The 19,696-nt window shown below is 51.9% G+C and overlaps 1 protein-coding gene, 1 long non-coding RNA gene and 1 pseudogene across 5 annotated transcripts, besides 2 other annotated features; 2 read left to right on the top strand and 1 right to left on the bottom strand.

The window, feature by feature from the left end:
- Window positions 1–1,308: 1,308 nt before the first annotated feature.
- On the bottom strand, window positions 1,309–13,929 carry HAUS5 (HAUS augmin like complex subunit 5). 4 transcript variants are annotated; one of them, NM_015302.2, is made up of 19 exons: window positions 13,772–13,929; window positions 12,872–12,934; window positions 12,764–12,796; window positions 12,605–12,629; window positions 11,517–11,622; window positions 11,278–11,437; window positions 9,471–9,540; window positions 9,295–9,377; window positions 8,752–8,809; window positions 8,469–8,593; window positions 8,199–8,262; window positions 7,965–8,095; window positions 7,615–7,777; window positions 7,160–7,240; window positions 6,906–7,051; window positions 6,541–6,652; window positions 6,337–6,469; window positions 3,931–4,063; window positions 1,309–3,788 (listed from the first exon to the last, which is right to left on the bottom strand). In NM_015302.2, the coding sequence occupies exons 1-19, from the start codon at window positions 13,867–13,869 to the stop codon at window positions 3,671–3,673; spliced, it is 1,902 nt and encodes a 633-aa protein (NP_056117.1). In that variant the 5' UTR covers window positions 13,870–13,929; the 3' UTR covers window positions 1,309–3,670. The 4 variants fall into 4 exon arrangements, with proteins under 4 accessions (NP_056117.1, XP_011524986.1, XP_047294480.1 ...); XM_047438524.1 differs by lacking the exon at window positions 1,309–3,788 and adding an exon at window positions 6,177–6,241 and having other exon boundaries at window positions 3,977–4,063; XM_011526684.3 differs by lacking the exons at window positions 12,764–12,796; window positions 12,872–12,934; window positions 13,772–13,929 and having other exon boundaries at window positions 12,530–12,617.
- Window positions 6,036–6,106, top strand: TRUND-NNN10-1 (tRNA-undetermined (NNN) 10-1; annotated as a pseudogene).
- Window positions 13,640–14,195: an enhancer, noted in NCBI's record as "H3K27ac hESC enhancer chr19:36103371-36103926 (GRCh37/hg19 assembly coordinates)". NCBI's record gives its function as "activates a minimal SCP1, AML or CMV promoter by ChIP-STARR-seq in primed H9 embryonic stem cells {active_cell/tissue: H9 hESC(primed)}" and the evidence as "EXISTENCE:reporter gene assay evidence [ECO:0000049][PMID:30033119]".
- Window positions 13,792–14,051: an enhancer, noted in NCBI's record as "active region_14487". NCBI's record gives its function as "activates an Ori minimal core promoter by ATAC-STARR-seq in GM12878 lymphoblastoid cells {active_cell/tissue: GM12878}" and the evidence as "EXISTENCE:reporter gene assay evidence [ECO:0000049][PMID:35858748]".
- On the top strand, window positions 14,000–18,275 carry HAUS5-DT (HAUS5 divergent transcript). The gene is made up of 2 exons (NR_186318.1): window positions 14,000–14,046; window positions 17,861–18,275. It is a non-coding gene; the product is annotated as an HAUS5 divergent transcript (long non-coding RNA).
- Window positions 18,276–19,696: the final 1,421 nt, after the last annotated feature.

Genomic DNA, 19,696 nt, shown 5'->3' with positions numbered 1-19,696 from the left:
TCCCTTTCTTCTTTCTTTCTCCATTCCCCCTTTTGCCTTCTCTTTATTGAAGAAACTGGATCATTTATCCTATAGGGTGTCACACATTTTGAATTTAACTAATTACATCCTTTTTGTTTCACTTGTTTCTGACTGCCTTCTGCCCCTTTCCCATATGCTTGTAGTGAGAGCTAAGGCTAGATGAGATTTAGGTTTAATTTGGTAAAAGCACACTTCATAGATAATATTGTATGGTATCATATCCCTTGTATCCTATTGGATCCCATCAGAAGCACAAGATGTCTGGTTGCCTTCCTTTGGCATCAGGATTGATCAGTGGTGTCATCCTGGTCTACCTATTTTAAGAAGCCCAATCAACCTTTCCCCTAATAGTTTTAGTAGCCCTTGATCATCATTACCTGTATCCATCACTAGATTAATTAATAGCAAATAGTGGTTTTTGAATTCTAGTATTTTCTCTGAAGTTATTAGTTGTGATTCTTCCATAAATAACCTCTTCATCAGAAATTTGGTTACTTAGGCTGGGCACAGTGGCTCACACCTATAATCCCAGCACTTTGGGAGGCTGAGGCGGGCAGATTACCTGAAGTCAGAAGTTTGAGACCAGCCTGGCCAACATGGCAAAACCCCGCCTCTAATAAAAATACAAAAATTAGCCTGGCATGGTGGCGCGCACCTGTAATCCCAGCTACTCAGGAGGCTGAAGCACGAGAATCACTTGAACCCAGGAGGCGGAGGTTGCAGTGAGCCAAAATCTCACCATTGCACTCTAGCCTGGGTGACAGCACAAGACCCTGTCTCAAAAAAAAAAAAAAAAAAAAGTTGGTTACTTGTTCACATATAAGAAAAATAGAGAACATGCTGGATTATTTTATATATAAAAAATTTTTCAAAATAATGAGTGGGTTCCTAGTACTCTTCAAAGGTGATTTCAATGAGGTATATGAGTATCAACATGAACTTACACATTCAGGCATATTTGATGTGCTTCAAACCACTGTGGTTCTTTTTGCTGCTCAACATGTCCCACCTTTGGTGAGTGACAGCCCTTCAGACTGGCTCCTGAGTTCCTTTGACTTGGCCACAGTAGTCTTGGAGGACTCTTTGCTTCCTGGCACAAAATATCCTGGACACATTTTGCACATTTCTTGCCCCAGACCTGGAATCAGCTGTTTTCACAAAAGTCCCTAGTTCTTAGTCAGAAATGGCACTTATAGAGACCACAGTCTGTATACTAGTGCTGCTCAGTGTTACTGGGGTGTCATTATATTTAGACCTTTTCAGGGGACTTAACTAGGGAAATACATATTTTTTAGAAAGAGAAAAATCATGACTTTATTCTGATATTTCCAATTCATGTGAAAGACTACAGGGTGTTTACTTGAGTTTATATTTGTTATCTTTTTTCATTTACACTAAAAATCTTGGTCCCCAATGACATTACATCACTACTTATTTGCTTTAGTATATAATTCAAAAAATATAAGGTAGAATCTCAAAAATTTAAACGGTCTATTTTATCAAAATAAAAATGCCAGTGTTATTACTAACAATGTGACTACTGTATGAAGTTGAAGATTTTGTTGAGTTCAGTTGAAGGTGGGGGCTGGGAACTGTGATGAGGAGAGAGAGGAGGAGCAGACACACTAAGGACTACATGGGAAAGCCAATGTGGAAAGGCTGGGAAACAGCAGCCAGGGGCAGGAGGAAAGCTGGGAGAGTAAAGGGACTCTGGAGGCCAAGAGAGGAGTTGTGTGAGAGATGGACAGCAAGGTTCAAGATCATAAAGCTGCCAAACTTCCAAATTTGAAAACTTACTGCAACACCAGTAAAACTACCATCTGTGCATGTTTTTCTTCTGGGGCCAGCCAAATTAAATCTAATGTTCACTTAGTTTGGGAAAAAAAATTTACTGAGACAGGGGAAACTAATCCCAGCAGGTGAAGATTTGGGAGGCAGAGGCGATAGAATCACTTGAGGCCAGGAGTTGGAGAGCAGCCTGACCAACATGGTAAAGCTCCGACTCTACAAAAAATACAAATATTAGCCAGATATGGTGGTGGGTGCCTGTAATCCCAGCTATTCAGGAGGCTGAGACATGAGAATTGTTTGAATCCAGGAGGCAGAGGTTGCAGTGAGCTGAGTTCATGCCACTGCACTTCAGCCTGGGAAACAGCCAGATTCTGTCTCAAAAAAAGAAAGAAAGAAAGAAAAAGAAAAGCACCTAAGAGAATCCAGCCATTTCAGATATGGCAATGTGGTCAGGCGCGGTGGCTCATGCCTGTAATCCCAGCACTTTGGGAGGCCGAGGCAGGCAGATCACTTGAGGTCAGGAGTTCGAGACCAGTCTGGCCAACATGATGAAACCCCGTCCCTACTAAAAGTACAAAAATGAGCTGGGCGTGGTGGTGCGTACCTGTAATCCTAGCTACTGGGGAAGCTGAGGCATGAGAATGGCTTGAACCTGGGAGGCGGAGGTTGCAGTGAGCTGAGATCATGCCACTGCACTCCAACTTGGGCAACAGAATGAGACTGCATCTCAAAAAAAAAAAAAAAAAAAACAAAAGAAAACAAGAACAGATATGACAATGTGTCACAAGCCTTTCTATTAAGCTACTGTAGGAATGACACATGGAGAGTTAAATACAAAGCAGGTCTGGAGAGAAGCCAGATATAACCCAATTAAACATGGAAATTTAGTGCATAAAAAGGTGGCATCTCAAAAGTGTAAGGGCTTTGCTTTATAAATTGAGTAACCCACGCAGTGAAATGCACAGGCCTTAAGACTACAACTACATGAGCTCTGACAAATCTCTACACCTGCGTCACCGCCGCTGCTCTTGACACAGCACATTCCCATCAGCTAGGACATTTCTGTGTCTCCTCCTCAGTTGATCCCTGCCACCCACCTTCCCTCAGAGGCAACTGCCACTCTGACTGGGAATTTCAGTAAGTGCTACTAGGATATATGTAAAATAAGACAAAATTGGATCCATGTGCTAGGATAAATTCCAAATGGCTGATTTACATGTAAAAAAAGAAACTATACAAACTAGAAGGCAATCTCATCTTTTAATACATTCCTCACCCCCAACCTACACTGTCCCCCTCAGTGGCCCTTATTGCAGCACATCCTGGCTCAGGGCCTTTGCATGTGCTGTTGCCTCCAGCTGCAAGCCCTTACTCAGCCACCCCTGTTGCTCCTGCTCACCCCTTGACGGAGCACGACCTGGGCAGTGTGGCCCTCAATTCAAATCACACATCCCACCCCCTGCTGGATTTCCCACACAGCAGTTAACTTGCAGCATACTACATATATATTTTCCTTATCTTGTAAACTCTGTCTCCCTGCCCTAGAACTCAACTGCTGGAAGACAGGGTTTTCTGTTTCTTTTGTTCAGTGTGGACTCCCCAGCGCCTAGAGGAGGTGCTCAATTACTTTTTGCTGAGAATGAAAGTGATGAAGGGGTTTTAGGGGGTGCTTTAGCGGGATGAAAGGACAGGGTCCAGGAGCTGAGTGGGGCAGCAGAACAGCACATGAGGGGACTGCAGGTGCGGGTGGGGACGACTGCCGAGGAATCCTGGCGCTGCTTTCTTCCAAATGTCCTGGGGGAGGTGAGGTGTTGGGGTGAACAGTGTCAAGTTCTCGGCTTCCGTTTGAACCCTCTCTTCAGCTGCACAGCTTCTGCAGGGCCCCCTGGGCCTGAACCCAGCGCAGCCGCCACTGGGGCAGGGACAGGCCCTGGCAGAGCTCCTCAGAGAGGGCGGCCTGGCCTGGCTGCTCCCACCTGGGGAATGGCATGGCGTCAACGAGGAAAGGACTGACCCTCCAGACCCTCCCTGCAAAACCATGGCCTGCTCCTTCTCATCAGGCCCCCAGCTTGAGTCCTGACTTTTCTGTTTCCCATCCGCGGCACGTTCCCCTCTCACCAGTCCCCCACGATCCCCTGCAGCTCAGGGATTCGCTCCAGTGCCTGTTTCAGTAGCTTCTCCAGCCTCTTCAGAGCCTGCCCCAGGTTCTCTTTCTGCTGTTTTTCCTGGGATGCCTGGATCTGCAGCAGCTCTGAGGGTGAGAAAGCCAGGAGGCAGCTTTGAGTCCTCTGGCTCGCTGGTACCTTACAGCAATGAGTCCCCAATTCTCCAGTCCCCTAGTCTTGACCTCAGCAGCTCCCGCAAACCAATGATGAGTCTGTCTCCTTCTCTTCCCAGCCTGGAAGTCCCCTTCTGAGGGACTGCCCTTGAGATGAGGACCTGTCCCTCCTCCCAGATCCTCATCTCAAGGGCAGTCCACCACCCCCAGCCCCATCCAGGCCTCCTTCTGGATGCCTTCCTCCCTCCCCGTGAGAGCCCATCAATCTCCATGGCCTGTCCGCTCAGTCTCCTGAGCGTTTCTTCCTCTCCTCTGCTCCAGGCCTCAGTCTCCTGCTCTGGTTCACCCTCCGCACTACACCACAGTGATCTTCCTGAAGCCTAAATTTGATGCTCTCCCTCCTGTCTAGAACCCTCCAAGGTTCTCCAGTGCCCCCAAGGCAGAGTCCAAGCCCTTCAGCAGGTATTTGAGTTTCATGATGTGGCAAAGCCTGGCCGATTCCCAGGGCCCACAGTAGAGAGTATCTTTCCTCCTGGAGGCCCCTCCAACACTCTCGCTCCAAGGCTTCCTCCTCCGCCTGCTCTAGCTTCACCCTAGCGGTGCTTTCCTCTGGGACTGGGACTGGGCCTACCTCTCCATGTGCACAGAACAGGCCCAGCTCAGCAAGTGCAGACGAGCAGCGTGATCAGACAAGCTGGGCCTGAATCCTGACCCCATCCCATCCCTGCCCTGTGACCTTGATCACGACACTGGCTCTTTGTTCAGCTCCGTCTGCTGTCAGGTGGAATTACTGGGGCAGGGGACCGATGGGAGAACTCTGGGGATGGGACCCTTAGGGCTTGCTGAGAGGCTGAAGCTGGTGAGGGTGGGGGGATTAGGGTGATGGAGAAATTCAGGATGACTCCTGGGTTTCTGGGTGCAGCACTTGGATGAGGAGGGTGAGATAATTTAACAAGGAAGGAAACCAAGAAGAGGAACAAAATTGTTTTTTGGAGTAGAGAGAACCAGGAGTTCCATGATAGATGTGTACAGTTCAAGATGCCCATGATTATAAGAAATATAAAATTAGCTGGGTGTGGGGTGCATGCCTGTGGTCCCAGCTACTCGGGAGGCTGAGGCAGGAGGATGGCTTGAGCCCAGGAGGTTGAGGCTGCAGTAAGCCAGGATGGCACCACTGCACTCCAGCCTGAGTGACAGAATGAGACCTTGTCTCAAAAAAACAAAAGCAAAAACAAAAAACACATGAGGTGGGCAGAGGGCGTGGTAGGCAGAGGCTGAGGTGGGCAGAGGCCGTGTGGGGTCTGGGGCTGCTCTCATTGCTCCTGCACACTGTTCCCTCCCCTTGTGAAGAAGTGGAGGGCAGGGAGCCCCAAACTCAGAGGCTTGAACAGTCTCTTCCTCCAGTGCTGCTGGCACTGCCGGTTCATTTCTCATCAATTCTCCTCTTCCATGTATTTATCCTTTCATTCTTTACTCTTTACTTCCATCTGGGGAAACCCCTGGGGTGGGGACCTTTCTCCTCACTCCCCATCAAGCCATCTGGGCTGGCACCTGGTAGACACCCAGTATTTGGTGAGTGAATCCAGGAATGAATGACTTCTCTAACCTTCAGTTTCCTCATCTGTAAACTGGGGTTCTTAAAAGTCCCTTTCCTCATCGTCATGACTCCAAGAGACTGTGTGTGTACACAGACAATGATGCTAATCACATTGGAGACACAGGGTGCTTACTGCATAGCAGGCAGTGTTCAGTGCCCTGTGTGGGTCCCCTGCCTCAATCTGCCCAGCACCTCGGTAAGATATTGCTTCATGCTTACTCCACTGAGGAGGAAGCTAAGGCACGGGGAGGCCACACAGCTAGGAAGAGACGGCAGAGAGGATTCCCAGGCTTTGAACTGCTGAGGTATACTATGTGACGGTGATGAATGAACACGTGGAAAGTCGACGGCAGTGTAGCTTAGTGGTTGGGAGCACAGACCCATTTCAGACCACCTGGATTCAAATTCCAGCTTTGCCATTTGGGCAACCTACTAACCTCTGCGTCTCAGTTCCCTTCTCTGTAGAATGGAGAGAACAGCAGCACTTACCTTATGGGACTGCCGTGCAGATGAAACAAGGGAGAATGTTTAAAGCCCTTAGCACACAATGGGCACTGCGTAAACAACGGGGTTGCTGGTAAGGACTCGTGGAGGCTGCTGGTAGTGGGAATGGGCGGGGAGGCTGGATGGGGTGGCAGGGCAGACCTACCCTGGGTGGGAAGGCCTGGCGGCAGGCTGGTCTTCATGTGGAGTAGATCCCAGCACCAGAGGCTCCGCTGGTCCTGCAGGAGCAGAAGGTCCTGGCGAAGAGAGGCAGCCGCCGGCAGGAGCAGCTCCGAGGCCTGGAGGAGGAGGGAAGGACGGTCACCTGGGGCGGGGCTGGGGAGACAAGTCACAGGAGACGGGCACTCACCTTCCCTGGAGGCAGCCCCAGCTTGTGGCTCAGCGCTATGAAGCTGGAGCCCCTTGGGGACGCGGGGTGCAGCTGGTGGATGGATGGGAGGACCGTGGGCAGGGGCTTCAACCTACGGGCGGGGAGAAGTCTGGGTTGGGTGGGGACTGAGAGGAGGCCTTGGGTTCTGGAGGCTCTGGGGGCCCAGGAACTTCAAGGTGGGTCTGGGGACTAGGATGCCAAGACCAGGGCTGCTGACCCAAGGGTGAGGTCTGGCAGCCTGGGAACACTGGGGGTCTGGGGTTATCTTTTTTGAGGAGGTTCAGGGAGTGACAGTCACCCATGGCAGGGGATGCAGGGCAGGGGTGGGGCAGCCCCAGTCTCACTCTCCCGGCCTGTGCCGCAGCAGCGTGCCCAACAGAATGTGGGGCAAATGCCGGACTTCCTCCTCCAGACAGCGCAGCAGCTCCCGGCTCTGTGGTGCCACTGCCTCAAATGTAGGGACCACCTTTCGCTGGACCAGAGCTAGCACCTGTGGGGAAGGGGAGGGGTGGGTGGGGCATCACAACATCACAAGTCCACCCAGCCCCATCCTGGCAGATCCAGCCCTACCCAGACCTCACCCCAACTCCCATCTCACCTCCCCCGGGCTCCGGCACAGGCGGGTCTTGCTGGCCGAGTTTCCCTTGATGAGCAGGCGGACCTGTTCCTGGGTCTCCTCCTGAGGAACCAGGATACCCTGAGACCCACTCCTCCCAGCTCCCAGCCTCAGTGTGCCTCTCTGCTTAGGTCCTGCTTCTGCCTGGGAGTCTCACCTGGGCTCTTGCCTAGGAGGCCCAGTTCTTAATTTTTAAGTGACAGCATTCTTTTTTTTTAAGTGATAGCATCTTGCTCTGTCACCCAGGCTGGAGTGCAGTGGTGTGATCATACCTCACTTCAGCCTTGAACTCCTGGGCTCAGATCCTCCCACCTCAGCCTCCCAAAGTGCTGGAACCACAGGCATGTGCTACCACACAGGGCTCAGGCCCAGTTCTTAGCCATAGTTTTCAAGCCTCCCCTCTGGCCCTCCACAAGGCCCTGGGCCTAGCCTCTCACCACCAGCTGGCGCCAGTGCAGGATCCGCTGCTGTTTGGCCTGTAGCTCCCTCAGCAGGAGCTGCCGATGCCCAGCTGCATCCTGCAGCTCCTGGCTCTGATCGTGCAGGGCCTTGAGCTCCGTCCACAGGCAACAGCGCCGAAGCCCCAGTATCAGCACCTGCCTGCAGGGCAAGTGGAGGAGAGCAAAGGAGAGAAGGGTGACTGAGCCACACAAGGGACCATAAACCAGGGAGAGACACTGCAGGGAGAGGAGGCAGAGATAGGAGCCACAGAGGCTGAAAAAGTCCAATGGGCTGAGACACTCAGAAGCGAGATGGCCTAGAGACCTCTTCTCGGAGAGCCCCCCACCTCTCACTGGATCCCAGGACGCGTCTCTCCACCTCCTCCACCAGGCCCTGGAGGCGCTGGGTCAAGACTTGCCGCTCCTTCAGGAGGGTGCTCCGCTGGGAGACCAGCACACCCACAGTCCGCCAGCCCTCCTGCAAGCGGGGTACAGAATCAGGGTACACCCAGGGCATGATCCATGGGTGAGGGGATTAAGGAAGTCTTGGAATGTGGTGGGGAGGCGAGCCCTGGGGTCACCTGGATGAGATGAACCATGGACGGCAGGGTCTGGCTGGAGTCTGACTGGTCCGGGGCCTGGGGTCTGGGGTGGGGGAAGAGCTGCTGAGGGAGCCGTGCTGCGGCCTTGCCTTGGTACTCGAGGGTGGACAGTATCAGTCCTGCCACCCCACCAGGCAGTGGGTTTCAGTTCTACCCCATCAGCAGGTGGCTGGGCCAGGGGTCCTGAGGCTGTCCCAGCTCACCCACTCACATGGCCTTCCCCAACTGTGAGAATACCCTGCCCCACACCTGGATATCTCTGTGTCGCCAAGCCCATCCCCACTGCACAGGGACCGAATCTCTGCCTCCCGCTCTGCAGCCAGGTGCTCCAAGGCAGCCAGGACGTGGCCTGGGGGGTGGTTTGTCAGCAGCGTCTAGGGGGAGGGAGGGTGAAGTCAGGGCAGGATCGGGGCAGGGCTGTGAGCTGAGACCCCATGGGAATAGGGCTGTCATCAAGAGTTAGGTCCTGGCACCCTAAGTTTTGATCAAGGAGCGGGAGGGTGTGGCTTTCCTGAGAGCCCTGCCCTCTCACCTCCACTGAGCTCAGCCACTGCTGGTACGAAGTGCCAAAGTGGTCATCATGAGGGGTTCTGTGGGGTTGGGTAAGCGGACAGAGAACGTTACAAGACACGTCAATTATCCTCTAGTTATCACCACCACCCTATAAGGTAGGGGCTGTCATCTTCCCTATGCCTGTTAGACTTGAGTTCCCCAATTATACCAACCTGCTGGCTTTGGGGCCTTTACATGGGTTGTTCATCTGGGACACTCTCTGGACCCTTCACCCCAGCTAAGCCTCCTCACCAGAGAACCTCTCCCCTCCCTGCCTTCTTAGCTGGGAAAGGCACTGCCTCTGGGTGCCCAGAGCCTCTCAGGCCTCCTCACTCCCGCAACAGCCCTGACCACCTGGCTGTCACTGTTTGTGATGAGAGACTGTCTCCTTCTATTCCCAGCCTGGAAGTCCCCTTCTACAGAACGTAGCCCAGAAGCTCAGTGTCTGAGGAATTAATAAATAAGAGACCCCCACTTAAAACCCAGGGTCTTTACAGGGTCTCTGGGGGCTAGGGACACTCACGGGAGGCTGCCCCTCTTGGCCTGGGGAAGCAGGAGGTTCTGCAGGAACTGGGCCCGGAGGGTGCAGGCTGTTCGGACATCACGCTAGGGAGAAGAGGAGGAAGGGACCTGAGGGGGACCCTAGCATCTGCCTGACTCCAGGCTCCCTGCCCCTTCTCCCATGACCAGGACTCTTACCAGGACCACGGGCTCCAGGCCCAGAGCTGCCGACGTGAGGGATCCAAAGGTCACATCTACTTTGGCTTTCCTGGAGGGAGAAGTGCAGCTGGGGCTGGGGTCCCTGGGAGAACAGATGTCTGTGCCCCATCTCCTCTCACTGCCAGCAAGGCCGGTCAGAGGAATCACTAAGCCTAGATCTCGGGAGCCATCTCCAGATTAGGCCACTGTCACCTCCCAGCTGGAATATTGCATTAGCCTCCCCACTGCTTTTGCTCCACGAGACTGTTTGCCACCCAGAAGTCAGTGATTCTGTTAAAACTGTAGGAAGATCATGTCCCTGCTCAGATCTGTCCAAAATAATGTGATGTTTCCCCAGCGCATTCAGAATAACAATGGGCCCAGCGTGGTGGCTCATGCCTGTACCCCAGCGCTTTGGGAGGCTGAGGTAGGTGGATCACTTGAGGTCAGGAGTTCAAGGCCAGCCTGGACAACATGGTGAAACCCCGTCTCTACTAAAAATACAAAAATTAGTCGAGCACAGTGGCATGCGCCTATAATCCCAGCTACTGGGGAGGCTGAGGCAGGAGAATCGCTTGAACCCCAGAGGCAGAGGTTGCAGTGAGCCAAGATCATGCCACTGCACTCCAGCCTGGGCAACAGAGCCAGACTCTGTCTCAAAAAAACAAAACAAAACAAAACAAAAAAACCAAACCCAGAATAACAATGGTTAACAGGCACTTCTCTAAGCACTTCACATGATTTATTCCACCTAACGATCATGCCTACCCTATAAGCTTGGTATTAATATTATCCCCATTCCACAGATCTTAGAATCTGAGGCACATAGAAAGAAGTTAAATACCTTGCCCAAGGTCACCCAATTTTTTTTTTTTTAAACAGAGTTTTGCTCTTGTCACCCAGGCTGGAGTGCAGTGGTGCAATCCAGGCTCACTGCAACCTCCTTTTCCTGGGTTCAAGTGATTCTCCTGCCTCAGCTTCCTGAGTAGCTGGGACTACAGGCACGTGCCACCACACTCGACTAATTTTTGTATTTTTTAGTAGGGACGGGGTTTCACTATGTTGGCCAGGCTGGTTTCGAACTCCTGACCTCAAGTAATCCGCCTGCCTCGGCCTCCCAAAGTGCTGGGATTACAGGTGTGAGCCACCATGCCCAGCCTTAGGTCACCCAATTTTAAGTGGCCAAGCCAGGGCATGAACCAGTGTCAGGGTAAAATCGCAACACATCATCCACAGTTCTCTGTCCACTCCTTCGACCTCACCTCCTCAGGTTCTCGGTCTTGCCTGAGAAACTTGAGCTGACATTGGCCTCCGGGCTGCTCTTCCTGCATGCTGAGCACACCACCTCTGCTCTTGCTATTCCTTCTCCACAGAAATTCCTCTTCCAACTCAATGTCCCCTCCTCAGAGGCCTTCGCTGACCACCCTCGCTAGGGCAGCATCTCCCTCTCCCTTCTATGATAGGCTTTTCTTCACAGCACTCATCTCTACCAGAAATGATAGGGTCTGTTTGGTTCCTACTTTACTATCTGTCTTCTCTGTGTCACAGCATAAGCTCCAGGAGGGCAGGGACATGTTCTCTGTTTGTGGCTGTTTCCCCAGGGCTGGTGTTCTAGGTATACAGGTGGTATCATTCTAGGCACTGAAAATACAGGTGACTGAGATGACAAAACCTCCTGGCCTCATGGACATTCCATCCTAATGGTTCCAGAATTCTGGAACCCAAGAAGGGATCAGGGCAGAGCCCTGAGGTCTCTAAGAGAATGTCTGGCCACCCAGCCTGGTGAGGGTGGGTCCCTGAGGCCCACCTCTCCATGTCCTGCAGGCGCCTCAGTTGATTCTGCAGCCGCTGCATGGGATCTCGGAGCGTATGCTGCTGTCTTCGCATGGCCCCAGCTTGGGCCCGGAGGAGGAGAGCTCGACGCTGGGTGTCTTGAGTGTGCTGACGTGCCTGCTCCATGGCCGTGTCTGTGGGAGGAACAGGGGTGGCCATCAGCACCTTTCCCGCCCCACATTCTGGTGCCCATCTTCTGGCCCCATGGCTCACCCTGAGCCTCAGTGTCTCGCTCCATCAGCTCCAGGCTCTGGTCGAGTTCCTGGATTTCTGCCCGCAGGCGGGTCACAGCAGCTTCCAGCTCTAACTTCCGACGGACCTGGGAGGATCAGATTCAGGGTCAGATGGTCTGATCGGGGCTCAGCCTGGCCTGTCTTTTGGGGGTACCAGGCTCCTCAACTGGTGGCAGAGGGTTTTTGCTCAGCAGTTTCTGTGTCTGACACAGAAGCATTAGGGTATTGGCTCCCTCCCTCCTTCCTCCTAGGATTGTCTTACCCACACTTCCAGCCTGTTTCCTGTCTGTGCTGGTGACAACCACATCTTTGTCCCAGTACTGATCTCTTCCCGGAGCCCTGCACCTAGAAGTCCCAAGGCCTCCTGGAAGCCTCCCCTTAGGTGTCATATGAGCCCCTTGCACCCATTGGGTCCCACACTGGCCTCAGCATCTCTCCCATACCTGTCCCATCATCTCTTCTCACCAGCTTTGATGCCACATATCCAGGTCCCACCTCTCTGCGCCCAGCTAATTAATGCTCTTTATTTATTTTTTCTTTTTTTGAGATAGAGTCTCGCTCTATTGCCCAGGCTGGAGTGCAGTAGTGCGATCTCAGCTCACTGCAACCTCTGCCTCCCAGGTTCAAGCGATTCTCCTGCCTCAGCCTCCCAAGTAGCTAGGATTACAGGCGTGTGCCACCACGCCTGGCTAATTTTTTATTTTTATTAGAGACAGGGCTTCACCGTGTTGGCCAGGCTGGTCTCGAACTCCTGACCTCAGGTGATCCGCCTCCCAAACCACATCTTTGTCCCAGTACTGATCGCTTCCTGGAGCCCTCAGGTGATCTCATCACCTGAGATGAGGCCTCAGGTGAGCCTCCCAAAGTGCTGGGATTACAGGTGTGAGCCACTGCACCTGGCTGAGCTAATGCTGTTTCCACTGGACTTTAAGCCCTATGAGGATGGAGATCAAGGCTGTCTTGTGACCCATTGTCCCCAGCATCACCCAGCACCTGGTTGGGCTTAGAGCAGAAGATCTACAAGTCATTTTTCGGATGAAAGAGAATCTTGTAGCATATGCTTCTCACCTGTGGACTGTCCTGGTGGCCATACCTAGGAAAACGAGGCCAGAGTCAGCGGATGAGTGGGGCTTCTAGGGGGGAGGGCAATAGGTGTGATGCTGTGGTGGGGACAGGGCTAAATGGGAGTGGGGAAGACAGGAGGGGATAGCTTTAAGAAGCAGTTACCAGAGTAGGTTTCCCCGGATCTTCTTGACAGTCCTACAGTGCAGAGGCAGAAAGAGGAGTTACTATGGGCCTCACCTGTGCCCCCTCCCCTGCTCTAGCCCAGCTTACCTCTGACTGTGCACATGCTGCAAGATGTAGGCCCAGATGTCAGCCCCCTGGCCCAGACACAGCCTGTGGGGACAGTGTGTAAGCATATGCCTGGGGCAGCACACAGGGTGTGGGATCCTCATTCCTAGGGTGATGGTGGTAGGGAGTTTTTACTAGGGAGTTCTCACTTCTTGAGGAGGGAAGGCCCAAACTTTTTTTTGCCTTTTTTTTTTTTTTTTTTTTAAGAGACAGTCTCGCTCTGTCGCAGTGGTACGATCATAGCTCCTTGCAGCCTCAACCTCCTGGGCTCATGCGATCCTCCCACCTCAGCCTCCAGAGTAGCTAGGACTACAGGCAGGCACCACTACACCCGGCTAATTGGTAAAACATTTTTTTTGTAGGGACTGGATGTTTGCACTAAGTGTGGTGTTATTCTCATTCCCTGGGAAGGCGGGTGGTGGGGGAGCGCGGGAGAGGCGGGTGCTCCCTTTCTCCTGGGAGTGGGTTATCCCAGTCACATCCAGAGGTGGAGGTGGGGGATGTACTGCCAGGAAGTGCCATCTCATGACCAGACGTGGGGCATCACTCCTACAGCTTCAATCCCCGATGGGGTGGCCACGGCTAACTCCTGAGTGTCCTTCTTGGTTAGGTTAAGGGAGGGAGGGGAGGTGCTGCGGGGACAGCCTCACTCTGGAGATCCTATTTCCATAAGGAGCGAGGTCTTAGCTAACTCGTGGAGGATCCTCACCAGTGCTAGGGACCTCACTCTGGGGAGCCTCCCAGGGTAGGGAGCCCTCAGTAAGTCGGGTCACTCTCGATGGGGAATTGGGGGGAGTCGAGTCCTCAATGAGGGGTGGAGTTCTCACTCCCGGAGACTCAATCTCCAGGGTGGGGTGTCCTCACTCCAGGAGCGGTCCTCACCTGCGCAGCGTCGATTCCGGGGCCCGGGCCGCCACGGGCACCCCCATCTCTTCGACCGCCCAGCAACCCAGTTCCCGCGCTTCCTGCGCTAGCTCCATGACAGCGCCGCGGCGGCGACACCGCCTCCCTCAGCCTCTTCAAGTGTGGCGCCCGCCTCTGACGTCACGGGCGCGCCAACAGTGACGTCATCGGTTGCCGGGCAGACAGCGGGCTCGGGCGCTGCATAGTAATCTTAGCGCGGTCAGGCTGGGTCTTGCAGCGCTCACTCTTCCCAGGTAGGTCTCCTTGAGTGGAAATGAAAAGGGCGTGGAGAGACTGCAGCCCCGCCCGCCTTCCCTCGTTCTCCCGCTCACTACCAGCTAACCCGAAAGAGGCAAAACAGTCCTTGATGCTTCCATTTATTTTCTTTTTCTTCTTTTAACTAAACACTTTTATTTTAATAGAGATGGGATCTCACTTGTTGCCCAGGCTAGTCTCAGCTTCTGGGCTCTTGAACTCCTGGGCTCAAGCGATCCTCCCGCCTCGGCCTCCCAAAATGTTGGGATTACAGGCGTGAGCCACCACGCTCACCCCCTTTATTTTCTTGACAAAATGGGACTTGCGTCCTAGGAGGACTGGAACCAGGCAATGAGATCCTGGACTTACTGCTCTTTGATTTCAGAAACAGGTGTCTCATGTCTGAGTGGAGGGTAGGGGCAGAGAGCATGACCCTAACATTTCCCTGGCATGCGTTTTCCCATTCATTCGTGCTTACCATTCCATAAACTCAGGGAGCTGACCCTGTGCTGGGTGATGCTGGGGACACCATGGTGACCACAACAGCCCTGGTCCCTATTGTACGGAGCTCACAGTTGAGTGGGGAGACAGACGCACCACCAGGTAGGGGTGGTAAAAATAAGCAGCAGGGGTGGGTCAATTTGGGACACAGCAGGTGTGAGAGGTCTGCGCTAGACCAGCAGTCCCCAACCTTTTGAGCATCAGGGACTGGTTTCATGGAAGACAATTTTTCCACAGTCTGGGGGATGGAGGGTGGGAGCAGTGGATGGTTTCGGGATGAAACTGTTCCACTTCAGGTCGTGAGGCATTATATTCTCTGTCTCTCTCTCTCTTTTTTTTTTTCTTCCCTGTTTTTTTTTTTGAGGTGAAGTCTCCCTCTTTCACCCAGGCTGGAGTGCAGTGGCCCGATCTCGGCTCAGCGCAATCTTTGCCTCCGGGGTTCAAGCGATTCTACTGCCTCAGCCTCCTGAGTAGCTGGGATTACAGGCGCCCGCTACCATGCCCAGCTAATTTTTGTATTTTTAGTAGAGACGGGGTTTCACCATGTTGGCCAGGCTGGTCTTGAACTCCTGACCTTAAGTGATCAGCCCATCTCAGCCTCCCAAAGTGCTAGCATTACAGGTGTGAGCCACCATGCCCCGCCTAAGCATTAGATTCTCATAAGGAGTGCGCAATCTAGATCCTTCGTATGCACAGTTCACAATAGGGTTTGCGCTCCTGTAAGAATCTAATGCCGCTCCTGATCTGGCAGGAGGTGGAGCTCAGGCAGTGATGCTCACCCATACGCCACTCACCTCCTGCTGTGCAGCCTGGTTTCTAACAGGCCATGGACTTGTATTGGTTCACGGCTTGGGGTTTGGAGACCCCTGCCCCTGCCCTAGATGAAATACTTCTCTGATGCTGACTAACCAACCATGCTTAAAAGCAAGGCCCGAAAGGATCAAGCTATTATTTAGCTGCATTCCAGAACAAAATTCAAGAATATTTATAGAGATTAAAAAAAATCCAGCATCCAACACTGTAAAATTAACAATATCTGACATCAGTAAAAAATTATAAGGCAATGGCTGGGCGTGGTGGCTCATGCCTGTAATCCCAGCACTTCGGGCGGTTGAGGTGGGAGGAATGTTTGAGGCTAGGAATTTGAGACCCACCTGGGCACCACAGCAAAACCTTGTCTCTATTAAAAATTAAAAAAAATTAGCCAGGCGTGGTGGTGCACGCTTGTAGTCCCATCTACTTGGGGGGTTGAAACAGGAGGATCAGTTGAGCCTGGGAGGTTGAGGCTTCAGTGAGCTATGATGGCACCACTGCACTCCAGCCTGGGTGACCCTGTCTCAAAGCCAAAACAAAACCAAACCAAAATAAAATAATCATCTGTATTCATGTTTCATAATATCCTCAATGGGTTTGTGCCTTTTTGGTACAGCTGTCAAGCAGCTCAAGAAAGTCGTGGGCTTTATCCGCTTAATGTAAGTGGCCGCTCTTGACTCTGGTTCCCAGGAAGACCTTCAACCTGGCCCCAGCCAAAAAGGCTACAAGCTGGCCCCCAAGAACTCACACAGCTTTTCCCAGTTCAGATGGCCCCAGGATAGCATGCCCACCAGCTTCCAGGAATCACTGTGGTTACTGTGCCCAGGTGCCTGAACCTCACAGTGCTGTGCATGGGGAGAAGCCTCTGCTGGGTGCTGACCTACCAGACAAGGATGGGCCAATTTAGGTAAATGGGAATGAGGAAGGAATGCCCGGCCCCAGAAAACCTCCCTCGAAGTTCAGATGACCATAGGAAACTCCCTGATAATGCAACTGCTGTGACTGTCACCTGCGTCTCAGTAGCTCACTGCAGGCACCTGGTCTCACTTCCTCCAGTCTGGCACAGCTTGTTACATCACCCAAGACAATGAAGGAAAAAGTGACCCCTTCAGAGGAAGGCCCTGAGCACTTAGGGTGCTTTCTGCCCCAGGGACCCAGGGTGAATCCCACGAAAGCCAGTTGTCTGGTTAGTGGTAACAGCACAGTGCAGGTGGACAGTCCCAATGTCCCATTGTTATGCTGGTGCTCAGCAGATGGTGAAGAACCTCCAGGCATGCCCCACAGCGGTCCCTGCTGCCTGCTTCCTGGCTGGGGTAGGACACACCCCTGTGACTTCCTTTCCTGCTATGTCTCTGCCCATCCTGCCCCAAACACACATGTAGATATGACCGGGTCTCAGACTGCAAAGTCAAGAGAGAGGAGGAAGTTCTCAGTAACATGCAAGGCGTGCCCTACCGCCATGATTTGGAAAGTTTCACCAGTCTCTGCTTTGAGAAGACTTGATCTGTCCCTGTGATTTGGTCACAATTGCCTTTGGACTGAGACACCACCAAAGGACAATGGATGGCCTGCACCCCCAGGAGCAGTCACCCGGGGTGCCTGTCTGGGCAAGTCTCATTCTCATTGCTACCTGGGCTTTCTCGTTTGTTTGTTTGTTTGTTTGTGAGATGGGACCTCACTCTGTTGCCCAGGCTGGAGCCATGGCCCGATCACGGCTCATCACATGCTGGAACTCCTGGGCTTAAGTGATCCTCCTGCCTCAGCCTCCTTAGTAGCTGGGACTTGAGCCAATTCTCCCAGCTAGATTTTTTTCAGTTTTAATTTTTTGTAGAGACGGGGTCTCGCTATGTGGCCCAGGCTGGTCTCAAACTCCTGGCCTCAAGCAGTCCTCTCACCTTGGCCTCCCAAAGCACTGAGATTACAGGCATGAGCCATTATACCTGGCCACTTTCTGCTTTTATTTATTTATTTTTTTTGTGACAGAGTCTCCCTCTGTCGCCCAGGCTGGAGTGCAGTGGCACAATCTCGGCTCACTGCAACCTCTACCTCTTGGGTTCAAGCAATTCTCTGCCTCAGCCTCCCAAGTAGCTAGGATTACAGGCATGCACCATCATACCCGGCTAATTTTTGTATTTTTAGTAGAGACGGGGTTTCACCATGTTGGCCAGGCTGGTCTCAAACTCCTGACCTCAAGTGATCCACTTGCCTCAGCCTCCCAAAGTGCTGGGATTACAGGTGTGAGCCACTGCACCTGGCCTCACTTTCTGCTTCTTATGCTCAATGTCTCCTTGTTTTGGAGACATGTCACCATTTGTCCTTTTCTTGGTTCCTTTCTCATGGTATCTGTTCTGTTGGCCTTGGTGGGAGGTACTGGTGCCTTCCTGCTTTCTTAGATCCTGAAGGAGCAGAGCCCCTGTGGCCTCTTGGTCTTCTTCTGTCAGCATCTCTCTCCCTTTGCTTTATCTGAAATCTCTTTTCTGTTTTTCTGGATAATTTCAGGATGCTTTTTGGAACCCATCCACCATCTGAGAGATAATAAGAAGCTTCTCTAGGACTTGTGATTTTGGTTTCAGCAGCTCCTTCCACGTTTGAGAAGAGTCTTCTCATTTCTTACTCATAGAACATCCCATCAGACATTTCTCCTGATCCACATAGTAATTCAGGGATCCAGGCTTCTTCCATAAGGTGATTCAACCATCTTCTATGGGCTCAGAGTCTTTTGAATCCAGGCAGAAGAGAGAATAAGGAACTCGCACCTGCTTCTTGAAAGTCTTCACCCTAAAGTGACATACATCACTTCTGCTCTCAGTCCATTGAACATAACTTGTCTTATGGCTTCAACTAGCTGCAAGGGCCTCTGGGAAATGTAGTCCTGGTCTAGGCAGTCAATAAACATCCTGCTGGCTCTGCCACAGAAGGCCTTTCTAAGATGTTCTTTGAGCTGAGACGTGAGAGCCAAAGTGTGAGAGCTACTTGAAAACTGTGAAAATGGAGTTCCCAAAGTGGGAACAGCAAGTGGAAAGACCCTGATGCTGGAATGTGCTCAAAGGAACAGTAAGAAATGAGCTTCTGGCTGGGCGTGATGGCTCATGCCTGTAATCCCAGCACTTTGGGAGGCTGAGGCAGGTGGATCACCTGAGGTTAGGAGTTTGAGACTAGCCTGACCAACATGGAGAAACCCCGTCTCTACTAAAAATACAAAAAAATCAGCCGGGTGTGGTGGTGCATGCCTGTAATCTCAGCTACTTGGGAGGCTGGGGCAGGAGAATCGCTTGAACCCAGGGGGCAGAGGTTGTTGTGAGCTGAGATCGTGCCATTGCACTCCAGCCTGGGCAACAAAAGTGAAACTCCGTCTCAAAAAAAAAAAAAAAAAGAACTTTTATTTTGTGAGCTACTGAAATGGTGGGGTTTATTTGTTATAGCAGCTAGCATGACTCTAAATAATATACCTTGTAGACATCATTGCCCACTAGCTCAGTGTATCTCAAACTACTTGTAACTATGGAGAAGGATCATTTGTTTGATGTTTCCAACCTGTCATGGACCAATCCTTTTGGTCTCTACCCTGTTCAACAAGAAAATCCATTGATCCTATACTTGGATGTCATGGATATGTCAAATTGCTGTGTTTCTAAACACTTGCTGGCAATTTCCGTACTTATCTGGTGGCACACCATTGCAGACACCAGCTCGGTTGGGGAGACCCTAACCCACTGGTGCTAGAGGAATTAAACACACACACACAGAAATATAGAGGTGTGAAGTGGGAAATCAGGGGTCTCACAGCCTTCAGAGCTGAGAGCCCCGAACAGAGATTTACCCACATATTTAGTAACAGCAAACCAGTCATTAGCATTGTTTCTATAGATATTAAATTAAAAGTATCCCTTATGGGAAACGAAGGGATGGGCCGAATTAAAGGAATAGGTTGGGCTAGTTAACTGCAGCAGGAACACGTCCTTAAGACACACATCGCTCATGCTATTGTTTGTGGCTTAAGAATGCCTTTAAGTGGTTTTCCACTCTGGGCGGGCCAGGTGTTCCTTGCCCTCATTCCCGTAAACCCACAACCTTCCAGCTTGGGCGTTAGGGCCATTATGAACATGTCACAGTGCTGTGGAGATTTTGTTTGTGGCCAGTCTTGGGGTCAGTTTATGGCCATATTTTGGGGGGCTTGCTCCCAACACCATAATAGTTGCTGGACCAGTCCTGGCACCACTTTAGCTTCTTATTCTGTTTTATTTTTCTCTATAGCATTTACCATTCCCTGTAATTATCTTGTTTATTTTTGGGTATACTTGTTTATAGTTTTCTTTCCCACTAGAATGTAAGCTC

This window comes from Homo sapiens, chromosome 19 (assembly GCF_000001405.40).
Source record: "Homo sapiens chromosome 19, GRCh38.p14 Primary Assembly".
Taxonomy (NCBI): domain Eukaryota; kingdom Metazoa; phylum Chordata; class Mammalia; order Primates; family Hominidae; genus Homo; species Homo sapiens.
Note: the sequence above shows the minus strand (reverse complement) of the source record. Positions and strands in the feature narration are given on the sequence as shown.